The following is a 15,644-nucleotide window of genomic DNA, read 5'->3' as shown; positions in this document are numbered from 1 at the left end:
TCTTTTTTTCATTATTATACTTTAAGTTTTAGGGTACATGTGCACAACGTGCAGGTTTGTTACATAGGTATACATGTGCCATGTTGGTGTGCTGCACCCATTAACTCGTCATTTAACATTAGGTATATCTCCTAATGCTATCCCTCCCCCGACCCCAACCCCACAACAGGCCCCGGTGTGTGATGTTCCCCTTCCTGTGTCCATGTGTTCTCATTGTTCAATTGCCACCTATGAGTGAGAACATGCGGTGTTTGGTTTTTTGTCTTTGTGAAAGTTTGCTGAGAATGATGGTTTCCAGCTTCATCCATGTCCCTACAAAGGACATGAACTCATCCTTTTTTATGGCTGCATAGTATTCCATGGTGTCTATGTGCCACATTTTCTTGATCCAGTCTATCATTGTTGGACATCTGGGTTGGTTCCAAGTCTTTGCTATTGTGAATAGTGCCACAATAAACAAGCATTCATGTGCTTGTGTCTTTATAGCAGCATGATTTGTAATCCTTTGGGTATATACCCAGTAATGGGATGGCTGGGTCAAATGTTATTTCTAGTTCTAGATCCCTGAGGAATCGCCGCACTGTCTTCCACAATGGTTGAACTAGTTTACAGTCCCACCAACAGTGTAAAAGTGTTCCTATTTCTCCACATCCTCTCCAGCACTTGTTGTTTCCTGACTTTTTAATGATTGCCATTCTAATTGGTGTGAGATGGTATCTCATTGCGGTTTTGATTTGCATTTCTCTGATGGCCAGTGATGATGAGCATTTTTTCATGTGTCTTTTGGCTGCATAAATGTCTTCTTTTCAGAAGTGTCTGTTCATATCCTTCGCCCACTTTTTGATGGGGTTGTTTGTTTTTTTCTTGTAAATTTGTTTGAGTTCATTGTAGATTCTGGATATTAGCCCTTTGTCAGATGAGTAGATTACAACAATTTTCTCCCATTCTGTAGGTTGCCTGTTCACTCTGATGGTAGTTTCTTTTGCTGTGCAGAAGTTATTTAGTTTAATTAGATCCCATTTGTCAATTTTGGCTTTTGTTGCCATTGCTTTTGGTGTTTTAGACAGGAAGTCCTTGCCCATGCCTATGTCCTGAATGGTATTGCCTAGGTTTTCTTCTAGGGTTTTTATGGTTTTAGGTCTAACATTTAAGTCTTTAATCCATCTTGAATTAATGTGATGAACATCGATGCAAAAATCCTCAATAAAATACTGGCAAACCGAATCCAGCAGCACATCAAACAGCTTATCCACCATGATCAAGTGGGCTTCATCCCTGGGATGCAAGGCTGGTTCAACATACGCAAATCAATAAACGTAATCCAGCATATAAACAGAACCAAAGACAAAAACCACATGATTATCTCAATAGATGCAGAAAAGGCCTTTGGCAAAATTCAACAGCCCTTCATGCAAAAAACTCTCAATAAATTAGGTATTGATGGGACGTATCTCAAAATAATAAGAGCTATTTATGACAAACCCACAGCCAATATCATATGGAATGGGCAAAAACTGGAAGCATTCCTTGAAAACTGGCACAAGACAGGGATGCCCTCTCTCACCACTCCTATTCAACATAGTGTTAGAAGTTCTGGCCAGGGCAATCAGGCAGGAGAAAGAAATAAAGGGTATTCAATTAGGAAAAGAGGAAGTCAAATTGTCCCTGTTTGCAGATGACATGATTGTATATCTAGAAAACCCCATCATCTCAGCCCAAAATCTCCTTAAGCTGATAACTAACTTCACCAAAGTCTCAGGATACAAAATCAATGTGCAAAAATCACAAGCATTCTTCTACACCAGTAACAGAGAAACAGAGAGTCAAATCATGAGTGAACTCCCATTCACAATTGCTTCAAAGAGAATAAAATACCTAGGAATCCAACTTACAAGGGGTGTGAAGGACCTCTTCAAGGAGAACTACAAACCACTGCTCAACAGAATAAAAAAAGGACACAAACAAATGAAAGGACATTCCATGCTCATGGATAGGAAGAATCAATATCGTGAAAATGGCCATACTGCCCAAGGTAATTTATAGATTCAATGCCATCCCCATCAAGCTACCAATGACTTTCTTCACAGAACTGGAAAAAAACCACTTTAAAGTTCATATGGAACCAAAAAAGAGCCCGCATCACCAAATCAATTCTAAGCCAAAAGAACAAAGCTGGAGGCATCATGCTACCTGACTTCAAACTATACTACAAGGCTACAGTAACCAAAACAGCATGGTACTGGTACCAAAACAGAGATATAGACGAATGGAACAGAATAGAGCCCTCAGAAATAATGTCACATATCTACAACTATCTGATCTTTGACAAACCTGACAAAAACAAGGAATGGGGAAAGAATTCCCTATTTAATAAATAGTGTTGGGAAAACTGGCTAGCCATATGTAGAAAGCTGGAACTGGATCCCTTCCTTACACCTTATACAAATCCATGCATTTTTCAAGTGTCTTTGTAAATCTCCTGTAGATGGATTTGCTTTTTTCTCCACCAATACAACCATAGAGTGTAGTCCATTTATATTTAGGGAAGTATGGATATATTAGAATATATTTCATCATCTTGTATGTGCTTTGATCTTATTTTTGGCTTCTGGATATTTTGCTGGTTTGTTTGTTTTAACTTTCTTACTGGCACAGCAATTTATTGGAAGTTATTTCTCCCATTTTATGTCTTATTTCTGGAGCCTTTTAAAGAGAATATTATTTAGCATATATCTAGCAAGATTCTGCCAGTAAAGAAAGTATTCCCATGTGTGGGTTTTTTTTTTTTTCCAGTTTGTTCATTTATTTATTTATTCTTTGAGACAGAATTTCACTCTTGTCACCCAGGTGACTTTATTTATTTGAAAATAAAGTAATATGAGAAGAAATGTAAAGCTCTCTTTCCCATTTTACCCTACTCTTCCCCAAGACCAACTTAATTACTTTTAATGATTGTTCCCTGGAGAAGAGTAACATGTTCAGGCTCATTAGTGGCACCTACAATTCTGTTTACAATGGCTTGCATTAGAGAAATAATAATTTTTATTTAGGAAGAAGACTTTTGTTTAATATATTGCCTATATTCTAGTCTCCCTAAGAGAATGGAAAAGGACAGAAAAAACATTTAAAATATCAGACATAAAAATAAGAACAGACTTCTTTTCTCCTTCTCTTTCTAATAGAAGAGATGGATAATAAGTTAGGAGATTTTCAATTCCAGTCCACCATGGTGAGCCTCAAATTGTCTATGAGATTGTGTACAGTTATTTAAATTAATTAAGGTATTTACCCATTTTAATTGACAAAATTATATATATTGTGTACATTACGTTTTCAAAAATGTATACATTGTGGAATGGCTAAATTGAGCTGATTTAACATATGCATGACATTACATGCTTACTATTTTTTGTGGTGACAACACTTACAATGGAGTCTTTTAGCAATTTTCAAGAATGCAGTTGACCCTCGAACAGCATGGGTTTGAACTGTGCAGGTGCTTTACACACAGATTCTCTTCCACCTCTGCCTGCCCTGAGACATCAAGACCAACACCTGCTCTTCCTCTTCCTCTTCAGCCTAATCAACATGAAGATAATGAGGATGAAGACCTTTATGATGATTTACTTCCACTTAATAGCAAATATATTTTCTTTACCTTATGATTTTCTTAATAACATTTTCTTTTTCTCTAGCTTACTTTATTGTAAGAATACTGTATATACTGTATATAATACATACAACATACAAAATATGTGTTCATCGACCACTTATGTTATTGGAAAGGCTTCTTGTCAACAGTAGGCAATTAGCAGTTAAGTTGGGAGAGAGTCAAAAATTATATTTGGGTTTTCAGCTGTGTGGATGGCTAGCACCTCCAACGCTTACATTGTTTGAGCGTCAACTGTACATTGTTATTAACTGTTAATTGTGCACAGTCCTTTCCAAGAGCTGTGAAACTTTACTTATCTAAAAACACTTAGCCATGTATTTGACCAACTGAGCTTGGAATATGCTACTTCTTCCCCCACCCATTGCTCTTGTCTAGGAGTACTTTATTGTCTATAAAACAGTATCCTATAATGGTAGGCAATTCTAAGACATAGTTCTAGCCATATTCGTTTGAAATCTTAAATTGTCTCCCTTTGTCTATAGAGAATTTTTAAACTTAAATGCATACAAGGGGAAAACTTGTAATATAAATGGATTATTTTGGAACAGATATAATAGGAAGAACTGTCCAATATCAAGAAAGAATGCTCCAATTAATATTCAAATTCATATTAAAGTAGAAAAGCACTCACCTATCCCTGTGCATGTACGTGTTTGCATGTGCTGAATCTGAGCTTAGTTCCTCCCCGTGACTCCATTTGTGAAGATGTTGTATAGAGTTATCCAATCACTCATTTGTTTGTTATACACAATCGTCATGATCTTCGTGACTTAGCTCTGTGCACTCTGCCTAGACTATTTTTTTTTCCATTCTTTTCTGTGCTCCGACCATAATGTATAGGGGGCAATTGTGCTATTCTAAATATATAACCTAATTTATGCCTCTGTGAATTTGCTTCTGAATTCTCTTTGTCATGAATATCCTTTCTCGCCTTGTCTTTTTTTCCTGTCTTGAAAATCTGTTATTATTTTACTTATACGTCAAAGTCTCCTATACGCAGTTTTCCCCAATTCTTCCACCACAACCCTCAAAATGCTACTTATTTACTCCTCTTTGCAGAGGATTCTGTGCATGAATCTGTGTTATCATACTACATTCTAGCTTATGGTTTGTATTTGAATATTGGTATCTTCCAGCAACTTGTGTACGAAGGAACGTGCCAAATCTTTGAAACCCTAGGAACAATAAAAATGCTCAGCATACAGTAGGTATTTAACAAGTGAATCAGGAAGAGGGAATAAAGGAAAAAAGGAAGAGAGAGTAAGTGAGAGGGGGTTGGTTGGGGAATACATAGGTGCTGACTTATTACCTTAGATAAGTTATTACCTCCCTTCTTTTCAGTTTTTTGGAGGAAAAGTAATACCTATCTGGCAGGTTTGTTCTAAGATTCAAAAGAAAAGTAAAAAGAAAACACTGGAAATGGCCAGATATCTTGCTTCACTATTTAAAACTTTAACCTTCATTTACTATTCAATGTGTAAGCAAAAAATAGAGTGCTTTGTGATGGGGCCAGTTAATGTAACAGACCTGAACTAGTGCCAATAATGAGTTTTATGTTCCCGCTGTGTTGACCAGCTTTCATGCAATGAAAACCTTATGAGGCACAGGCAGCTAATCTTAAAATGCATTTTATTGATGCTTTTAAGTAAGAAAAACATAAGATTCATACTAGCTAAAATATATAAAGACCCAAGTGGTATTAAAATTGAAGTTCAGGCTGGGCACGGTGGCTCACGCCTGAAATCCCAGCACTTTGGGAGGCCAAGGTGGGCAGATAACGAGGTCAGGAGTTCGAGACCAGCCTGGCCAACATAGTGAAACCCCATCTCTACTGAAAATACAAAAATTATCCAGACATGGTGGCGCAGGCCTGTAGTCTCAGCTACTCAGGAGGCTGAGGCAAGAGAATCACTTGAACCCGGGAGGTGGAGCTTGCAGTGAGCTGAGACAGCACCACTGCACTCCAGCCTGGGCAACAGAGTGAGACTCCATCTCAAAAAAAGAAAAAAAAATGAAGTTCAGTGTAAAAATAGCCTTAACATTTCCTTAGGTAAAGTTAAACTTTGTGAACAAAAATTTAAAAAGAGAAAGATTTCTACTGAACTTTGAACTAACTAGAATACATATCAGGTAAAATTAAAACTTTTTGGGTTCATCATTGTTATGGATATTTGATTATCTAGAGAACAACTATTTTGTGAATGAAAATAAATAGGAATATTTTATTTTATCCTAGTAGAGTTAATCTAGAGAGTTCATTCATTGCTTCAGAACAATTTCACAAACTTAATTTATCATATATTTCAAGATTTCCCTAATGAAATATCGATAATAGTTTATACATGTTCTAATTTCAGCTAGGAGGAGCATCAAAGAAATGCACTCAAGTTAGCTTTCAAAACTTCTTGATGACAATTCTGAGGTACCATATAGTACTACCTCAATTTCTTTAGTCTCACAAAAGGAAAGTGTCACACTGAGGCAGCTAATGCACACTGCACTTTTACAAATCTAGAAACAGCATTCAGCATGTCTGAAAGGAAAAATTAAGATTAATCTCTGTATTAGTCTGTTTTCATACTGCTATAAAGAACTGCCTGAGACTGGGCAATTTATAAAGGAAAGAGTTTAATTGACTCACAGTTCAGCATGACTGCGGAAGCCTCAGGAAGCTTACAATTATAACGGAAGGTGAAGGGGAAGCAAGCACCTTCTTCACAGGGTGGCAGGAAGTAGAAGTGCCAAGTGAAGGAGAGAGACCCTTATAAAACCGTCAGATTTTGTGAGAACTCACTCACTATCACCCCCGTGATTCAATTACCTCCACCTGATCCCTCCCTTGACACATGGGGATTATGGCGATTACAATTCAAGATGAGACCTGAGTGGGCACACAAAGACTAACCATATCAATCTCAATACATTTTTTGCTAAATCTAGGTAGACTTCTCTGCTGAGTGATCATCTATGTAGTACATTATAATCATGAAACTTCCTGGGCAGTTCAGATATATAAGAGGTATAAGGGTATCTAAAATAATTTTATGACCATAATAAAATCACATTTGGCTTCTGAAGCAATAACTATGGTATGGCATATAGGTTAAATTCTTATAAACCAGGTATATTTAAAATATAGTTATAACCGGCCGGGCACAGTGGCTCATGCCTGTAATCCCAGCACTTTGGGAGGCCGAGGCAGGTGGATCACAAGGTTAGGAGATCAAGACCATCCTGGCTAACACAGTGAAACCCTGTCTCTACTAAAAATACAAAAAATTAGCCGGGCGCGGTGGTGGGCATCTGTAGTCCCAGCTACCCGGGAGGCTGAGGCAGGAGAATGGCGTGAACCCGGGAGGCGGAGTATATATGTAGTTATAACCAATGAATAGAATGTAACTAATAAAATTAACTGCAGCAGACTTATCACTTACCTCAGTAAGTGGTACAAAGAAAAAGAGGACTTTCACTTCCATGGACGTAGGCGGTAATCCCAAGACTGGATGACTCTTTGAGAATCAGGCATCTTCCATACTTGTTTTCTCTAACTTTGTCTGAAAATGACTGCTGAGATTCCACTTGACAACCAACATCTTTCCCATCACCGTCTCAGAAAATGGATCCTCAAGACTAAAAGATAATCCATGTTTAAATTCCAGTAACATAATGTATTCAAAGTATTTTCTTTGATGAAAATTCACCTTCAAAAATCTATAGTTTTGTTCTCAAGTGTCTATAAAACGGAATCTGCTAGTAGTCCTCAAGATTTTTTTTTTTTCATATTTATCAGCCCACTTGCCTTCCCCTTTGCAAATGACTGTTTAATGCTCAGGACTATGTTCTAGTTATAGGATTTATTCCAAACACTTATTTAATGAATTTTGAAGCGAAAATTTTAATTGTTATTAAAATACTAAAAATATTCTCTCTTTTCTTTTAAAAAGATTTCTCTTTCTCTCAGGCAATCAAACTAAGAAAGTATTTCTAATACAGAAAAACATCATTCTGGTGAATACTTTATAGCAGTATGTAAAACAGGATGTTCCCACTATTTTTACTGCCACAAGATTCCAAATATTTTAGAGCTTAAGTTTTACAAAAGTTTCAAAGAATCAACCATGAAAATTGCATGGTAGGCTTATTTGCATTATGTATCAGGGAGAATATTTTTAGCTCAGAGTTATTTTAGACATGACTGGGTAAAAATGAACTCTCTTACTATCCCAAGAGTATGCATACATTTCTACAATAAATAACGAAGAATGAAAAAGCATGAAAAATATTACTGCATTTGGAATTAGGTCTTTTCTCCAAGTTCTTTGAAGGGAGGTTAATGTGTAAAAGGGCATCCCTATTCATGGAAATCTGAATGCTGATAAACAATACATAATGCTAGTGATTATCACCTAATTTCAATATTTATTGAAAACTGCCATTTCAGACCAATCAAAGCACATCATGAATTGTGCTGTTATCTACATTTGTATAAGTTTTCCATAAATATTGAGTTTCAGTCATTATTATTAGTATAATTTATTGTTAACTTCTTGGAGACTTGAATCCATATGGAAAATGATTCAAATCTTACACTATCTTCTTTTGTCTCTATTATATTCTTTATACATATGATACAAATAAAGGAATAAGTTATTCAATGAGGCCAGTAAAACGTATTTTATGGAGAGGGCTATTTCTGAGAAAAACTATAAAGTCACGAAACTTGTTTTTGATACCATCACATTTCCACAGTTAGTGTTGTTTCTTGGCAACTTTTGCATCAAAGACAAACAAACACAACTTCCTTTGGAATTTCAGGACCCTTATGTTGTTCTCATAGTGCTCACATTGCACTACAGAGACCCTGATAGACAAAAGGTGCATTCATTCTCCCAACAGAATTCACCTTTCTAATCAGTGAAAAAACAATATTGCCTGTTCTGTGCCAGACATTATGATAGGAACAGGGATAATCACTTAAATAAGATGTTTGTAAACATTCTTTGCCCTATAATAGTTCATAGTCTAATGGAAAAGATGGACAGGTAAATAATGCATACTACAATAAAAATAACATACAAAATAACATTTATTTTTCAGGAACCCTTTGAAACACTTTACATGTATTAATCCTTACAACACTCCTAGTAGGCACTGTCGATACCCCCATTTTATAAATGAGGAAACTACGATGCAAAGCAATTAAGTGCAAATGGGTTATTGCCAAGGAAGAGGACATCTAACTTGACCTAAATGATTCAGACATTGATTAAGAGAGGCTTTATAGAAGCGATAAGCCTGAATTAAACTTCCAAAATGATTAGGTTTGCAACGACAAAGAAAAAATAATCAAACACGAACTGTGTTCACAATATACGAAGTATGGAAAAAATAGCAAGATATCATATCCACATTAAATATATATATTATATATATAAATATATATTTACATATATAAATGTACATATGGTGGTGCATGCCTATAGAACCAGCTACTCAGAAGGCTGAGACAGGAGGATCACTCGAGCCCAGGAGGTCAAGGCGGCAGTGAGCTAGGATGGTGCCACTACACTCCCACCTGGGTAAAAGAGTGAGAGCCTGTCTCTAAAAAATTCTTTTAAAATAAAAAAAAAAAGGAACAAAAGGTGAAAAAGTCACACAGATGTGAGAATATATGCCAGATTTGGAAAGTACCAAGTCAGTATTCAATTTGCCTAGAATTTAAGACTGAATGGGAAGGAAAGGAATGAAGCCAGAGAATTATCAGCCTATGAATGGTTCTGTGTGCTCTGCTAAGAAGCTTGATTTTATACAGGAATTTTTAAGATATTCAGCAAAAGAATGAATCTCCACCCTATCAACTCTCACAAAATATAATTTATTATTATCCCTTTTTTTTTGCTATGGCTCTCCTTGTCTAATACCATGAAAAATAATTGGATGTAGATGAATATTCACTAAAGTATTATTTTTTCAAAGATACTTAAATTTCATTAAGATATATTTGAAGATTACAAAGCCTTCAAGTTTCTAAGACAGATGTTTCTAGACTTATGATGTGGCTATGTCCCAATAAATCCACTGGAAATCAAAAATATCCTAAGTTGAAAATGCATTTAATACCCTGAAAAACCCATTGTAAAACTGAAAAGTTGTAAGTTGAACCATTTTAAGTCCAGATGTTCCTCCACTGAGGATGGAATTATGTCCTGATAAATCCAACATAAAAGTAAAAAAATCCTAATTCAAACCAGGGTAAGTCAGAGATCATCTGCATTGGCATTTCAGGTCACTTGGCAGAATCGTGAGTTGCTTTTCGGCAGAGAAGCCATTTTCTTACTCCTGTGAATAATTCAAATGGTTGGTTACAAGAAAGTTGGGAGAGTAGCACATTAGGGGCCTCTGGATTCAATGTCCAGGTCTGTCACTCACTTGTTGCAAGTAATTTAGCTTCTTTTAGCTTCTCTAGTCATCCATTTTCTCAGCAATGGAATGGGTAGGAGGAGAGACACTGAAAAGCAAGGTTATTTCAAATACCTTTTCAAATTCTTACATCTTCATTCTATGACACTAATCTTGACCTATTCAAAAAGCAAGTTCTAATTGCAGAGCGAGATTTCTCTAGAAATATCTTTTACAAAATAGTGTTAACTCTCCAGAAGGGCAACATATTGATGTGAGCAGCTAAAACTTTTGTATAACCTCCAAACATTTAACAGGAGATATTTTGTTAAATATAGAAAGCAAAATGACAAAACAGTAATGCTTTTCTCCTTAAAAGGGTCATACAATTAAATCTGTAAGAATAGTCTTATGCATATGATTACCTCAATTTCACATTTAAGGAAGCAGAGTCACGTAATTGAAATAACTTTTCACACATCACATATTTCAGCAGTGGTGAGGCCAGACGCTAAACCTCTGTTGTCTAATGGGAAGTCCACTGCTTACTTTACCACAACAGTTGTTCTTATGATGACAGTTAAGGCTTAGCATTATAGACAGTTTCATAAGCATAGGAATATTTTATTTCAGATAGAGCTAGAAAGACAATAGGCATAAAATCAAATGTGTTAATCACTTGAACCACAAAAAGAGAAGCTTGCATTTCCAGCAGTGTGTGAAGTATAAGGTGGAAAATGCAAACCTGTCAATGTGCCCCCGTTTCCATAGAACATGTGGTTTAGCAGGATCCCTGGGAGGGAACACACACAGTGACCACAGAAGGAGCTTGCCCTTGGAATATTCCTGTTTATGTGAATTTACAACAAAAGTTGATCTTTCATTGGCATTAAGAAGTTATATAGCCTTCCTGAACCTGCTTTTAAAATAAATGTATCTACAGTAAAATTACCAAATTGTGTTCCTTAGATGTCAAAAACTATTGCAAAGGCAGTAAAATAGACTTCTTATGGTCTTAAATATGCTAATGTTAAGTTTAAGTCTCCAAGAAGGGGTATAAAGGCTATGAGCAATGCAACATTTCCCAAACTTTTTTGACCAATAAAACTTCCCCTACCAACAACACCTACACCCAAAAAGTATGTAAAGCAAATGAAAAGGCTGATAAAAATAAGGATTTATGTTTTTCCCCAGTAAAATAGAATAATCTAGAGGGACAGTGAGATAAAACTTAAGTTTTCTAAAGAAGATTTAATAACTTGATACCTACAGGGCATTTTAATATAAAAATTTATGTTTGTGCTTCCACTATAGAAATACATAGAGAGTTTTCAATATTTTAATCTTTTGCCAATGTATAGTGATCAGAAGTGGCATCTTGAAATCAAATATGCTTAGTTAATAAGACTATAGCATACCTTGGAAGTATGTAATAATGTGTAGAAAAGTCTGGATGTGTAGAGAAGTTATGGGGGACATAACTGGTAAATGTGAAACAGATTGTGCGGTGATTTATGACACTACAAAATACTTCTGGTACCCAAATATTGAATAAAATTAGCAAGGAAGTATTATATAACTTTGTTCTTCCTATTTTACTATAATATATTTTAGGAACCGTGTTTTTACACTACCACAATCTGGATACATCCAATTGCTGATAATATTGGACATGTTTATACAAAGGATTACAATACTTATTGCTCAGGTGTCCAACTTTAAAGACGGGCATTTTATGGGAAACATGGTATAAAAGGAAAACGCTATAACATAGGATTATCTCTTGTGAAACTTCATGTATGAAATAACACAGCTTCAACATGCATAAAGCAAGAACTGCATTAACTGTAGAAATGACAAACAGGAAAAGACAGACCCAAAGTGATGCTAAAGACTTTCTTCCCTCTCTAAGGCCATGAAAGATGAAATACACAAAATATTCAAACAGATAAGGAAAATGTCAATAAAATATTGAATATAATACATACACATAAACATATACACTGAAATGTTTCATTATATTAAAAAGAGACCCTTATTTCAAATGTTATGGGATATTTAAATAAATCAGACAATAAATTTGAAACTAGAAAAAGAAGACATGTAATGCTCTTGGGCTTAGAAAATGATACCCAGTGCATGGTGATTTGGCTTGCTGAGTACTTTATCCTGAAGGACTTTGGAACATCTCTGAAGCAGCCTCAGAACCAAGTTACTCCTTCCTCAAAGATTCGATCAGAGGTCATCTGCTGTAACTTCTTCTACCTGATCCCCTCACATCAAGTATTGCCACCTAGAAATCATGCTCTGCATAGAAGCCGGTGGTATCATAATAAACAGCAATCAACAATCCAGCATTCAGTTCCTTTAGCTCTTCTTTCCATTCTAAATCTCCTTTTATTCATCAGAACACCCACATTTTACTATAGATTTCTGCTCTAATAGATATCAGTTTAATCTTTCTCCCTTCTGCTATTCTCCAGGGTTTGTATTCCTTACATTTGCTTACTTCTTTTTCCACCGAGAAGCTCCTAGTTCCATTTGTAACTAAATTTCTCACCCGAGTCTCTTGACTGCCACTGTATTTCCCACCTTGTGTAATTCTCACCAAAGATTCACCTAACTTGATATGTATTTATGATTTTTTTCTCTTTCTAGGCATCAGACATATGTTATTCACTACTGCACTAAAATTGATAATGTAAAAATTTTACTTTATGTATTATTTCAGGGCATTTTTATAAATTGCAATGACTGGTAGTAACATAACAATGAATATAATTACTATACTTTTCAAGGATTTACAAAATGTATACTCATAGTCTAGGAGTTACATACTTACAGGAATTTAAACTGACAAAGGCACCACCCTCATTTTGAACAATAGCTAAAAGGAAATAACATCTAATGCTTCATTTATGTGCAGCTCTTAAGTACTCTTCCCATGGTAATTGCCATTGTGAAATTAATAAAACTTATGCAAATGGTGCACCAGTGAAATTAAGAACAGCAGCTAGACTTTGCATCCTTTTTTTCCCCTCTTGATTTTTACTAAGTAACCTCTAAAAATTAAGGCAAATTTTCTTGGATATCTTAATTACATAGTTATTTGCACAAATGACTCTGTAAGATTTTTTGACATATATCTTTCAAGCCAAACTAACATGGTATTCTTCTCTTACAATTGATTGTCATAAATAATCTGGTCACTGACAATCTGATATATTATTACAAGGAAAAGTAGAAAAAAATTATTTAGGTTAATTTGACTTCTGCTCCCCAAATACTTAACTTTAGTCACTCTTGATGATCTGAGAAACTACAGAAAATTAAAAAGTAAATAGCTAAGTGCTCTTAATACTAATGATGGGGAAAAGGTAAGTAGATACACCAGTGATTAAAAACGCACTAAGATACACTTCGGATGACATCGGTGCGGACATCTATACCAGTGATTACAAACAGGGCATTTTAATTCTTTCCTCGCTTTTATTCTAAAGATTTTCGCAAGAAATGTTTGCTGATTTCAACTTACATATTAATAAAGATGTCGCTGACAAGTTGAATAACTCCAAATTATGTTGTAAGAAAATGTTTAAAAAGAGTAAAAACAAAACACTGTGACTGAATGAAGTTTAGTATTCAGGCTCTAATGATTAGATTGACCACTAACACGACATAACCATAGAGGATCATGTGAAATAAAGATGGGTGATGTTAGGCAATGTGTATGTCCCTACAAAATATTAACAACCTTTTATCACAATAATACAAGTCTCACTATCTAGTAATGGTATTAAGATATTGAAGTAAAACAAATGAATACTTTATTAAATTTAACTTTCTATATTGACTCACATATTTAGTAACCAAAAATAAATTTAGTCACATCTACATTAAAAAGTAGTTTTCTAAGTCACAACTGTCACTTTATAATAACAAATGCAAAAGTAACTGCAGAATAATGATCATTAATTTTCTCAAAACTAAATCACTCACTTTGTATTTAAAATAATAAAATACTTAAGGGGCTTCCTGTCAAGCAATTGTTTTAGCATATCAATAAACACATTGTTTATGCACAGAGATAATTTTCTGAGAACTAGGAGTCAAGATTACTTCTAACAAATTAATAATCACTACTAATGTGTTTTATTTATTTTTGAAGTGGAATATTTAATTTTTATGTCATATTTTATTTCTTCATAGCCTCGATAACTGCATTTTTATTATGAATGGCTTCATATTGCATACACTAAAATGTATTTATTATTTAAAATAGAACCGCAAATTTTAAAATAACATTTGTTGTATAAGCAATTTTATGAAATAATTCACCAATTTTTTTTAGGTTAACACATTCTTTGCAAATATAGCATATACTTAATCAAATTCATTTAAATTCAAGTAACATGCATTTTCTAAACACTGAAGAGGTCAAAGATGATGATGATAAGATTCTTCTCTTAAATAATTTCAGTTTGATAGTATAAATTAACCATATATACAAAATTCTAAAACGAAGGATAAAATGATTGCTATTAATGATAAAAATGATTGTGTGACATCCAGATGAGATGTAGGGAAGATCCTAGACAAATAGCTGATAGATCAATCATTTGAAGTATGACAAGGGTTGGTTGGTAATTAGAAAACTATGTTTAAAACAATGAGAAACAAAAAGTAGATTTTTTTTTATTTCTAGGAAAAGCTAAAGTTGTACCAAAGTGAAAAGGAAATAATATACTAACTGAAACAAATAATATTTGCTAGTCAAGATTATGCTAAAATTGATTTATTGAATCACTTGAATATTGTTTAACCTTATCACTAATCCACAATCAGAGGACAGTATATAATGCTAAAATAAATAAGTCAAGATATCACAACAATCAATTTTATTTAGACAGATGGCAATAAATACCAGAAAAATAGCTATCAGAGTTAGTATTATTAGCCCTGGGAGCATAATGGTTTGAGGATGAACAATGATCACTTTTTATTATTAATCTTTCATACCAGTTGATTTTATTTTTAAAATGCATGTATAATTTTATTAAAATTTTACACAACTAAGAGAATAACTGAAGAAATAAGTGGAAGAAAGAAAAGGATTACAGAACTAGAAACTTAAGAAAAAACTTTCAGAAAAAATATCTAATACAAAGATAAGAATAAAGAAAATTAAAGAGGCAAAAAACAAAATATTTAGAGGATCAATCCAGGTTGTTCATCATTTGGTAAGGGGAGTTCCACGATTATCAACTAAGTAATGCAGCTGGCCTAAAAAAACCATCTTAGATAACACACATCAAGGTTCTCCAGGAAGGAGATCTTCAGGAGTTCCACCAGGTTTTTTGTTTTTTGTTTTACATTTTGCAATATAAAGTCACTGGTGATGCTCACATAGAAGTAATTCTAAAAGTGACTTAAAGATTAAAATATTAAAACAATTAAATCAAAATAGTTTCAAAAGATAAAACTAGAAATACTACCGAAAGCTACTATTTCAAGTATTTGACAAAGAAAAGAAGCTGAAACTGATGGCTAAATGCATTACCAGTGTCAACAG

The 15,644-nt window shown here is 34.3% G+C and overlaps 1 pseudogene across 1 annotated transcript in view; it reads right to left on the bottom strand.

The window, feature by feature from the left end:
- Positions 1-1,273: 1,273 nt before the first annotated feature.
- The window catches only part of LOC400464 (ubiquitin conjugating enzyme E2 Q2 pseudogene), a 75,960-nt pseudogene continuing 61,589 nt past the window's right edge, over positions 1,274-15,644 (bottom strand). Inside the window, exons 4-5 of the transcript NR_135737.1 lie at positions 7,108-7,303; positions 1,274-1,288 (exon numbers count right to left, since the gene is read on the bottom strand). The product of NR_135737.1 is annotated as a ubiquitin conjugating enzyme E2 Q2 pseudogene (transcript). The remainder of the gene's footprint in view (positions 1,289-7,107; positions 7,304-15,644) is intronic.

The sequence above is a fragment of the Homo sapiens genome, chromosome 15 (genome assembly GCF_000001405.40).
Source record: "Homo sapiens chromosome 15, GRCh38.p14 Primary Assembly".
Taxonomy (NCBI): Eukaryota; Metazoa; Chordata; class Mammalia; order Primates; family Hominidae; genus Homo; species Homo sapiens.
The sequence above is the reverse complement of the archived record's forward strand: the minus strand, read 5'-3'. Positions and strand labels throughout refer to the sequence as shown.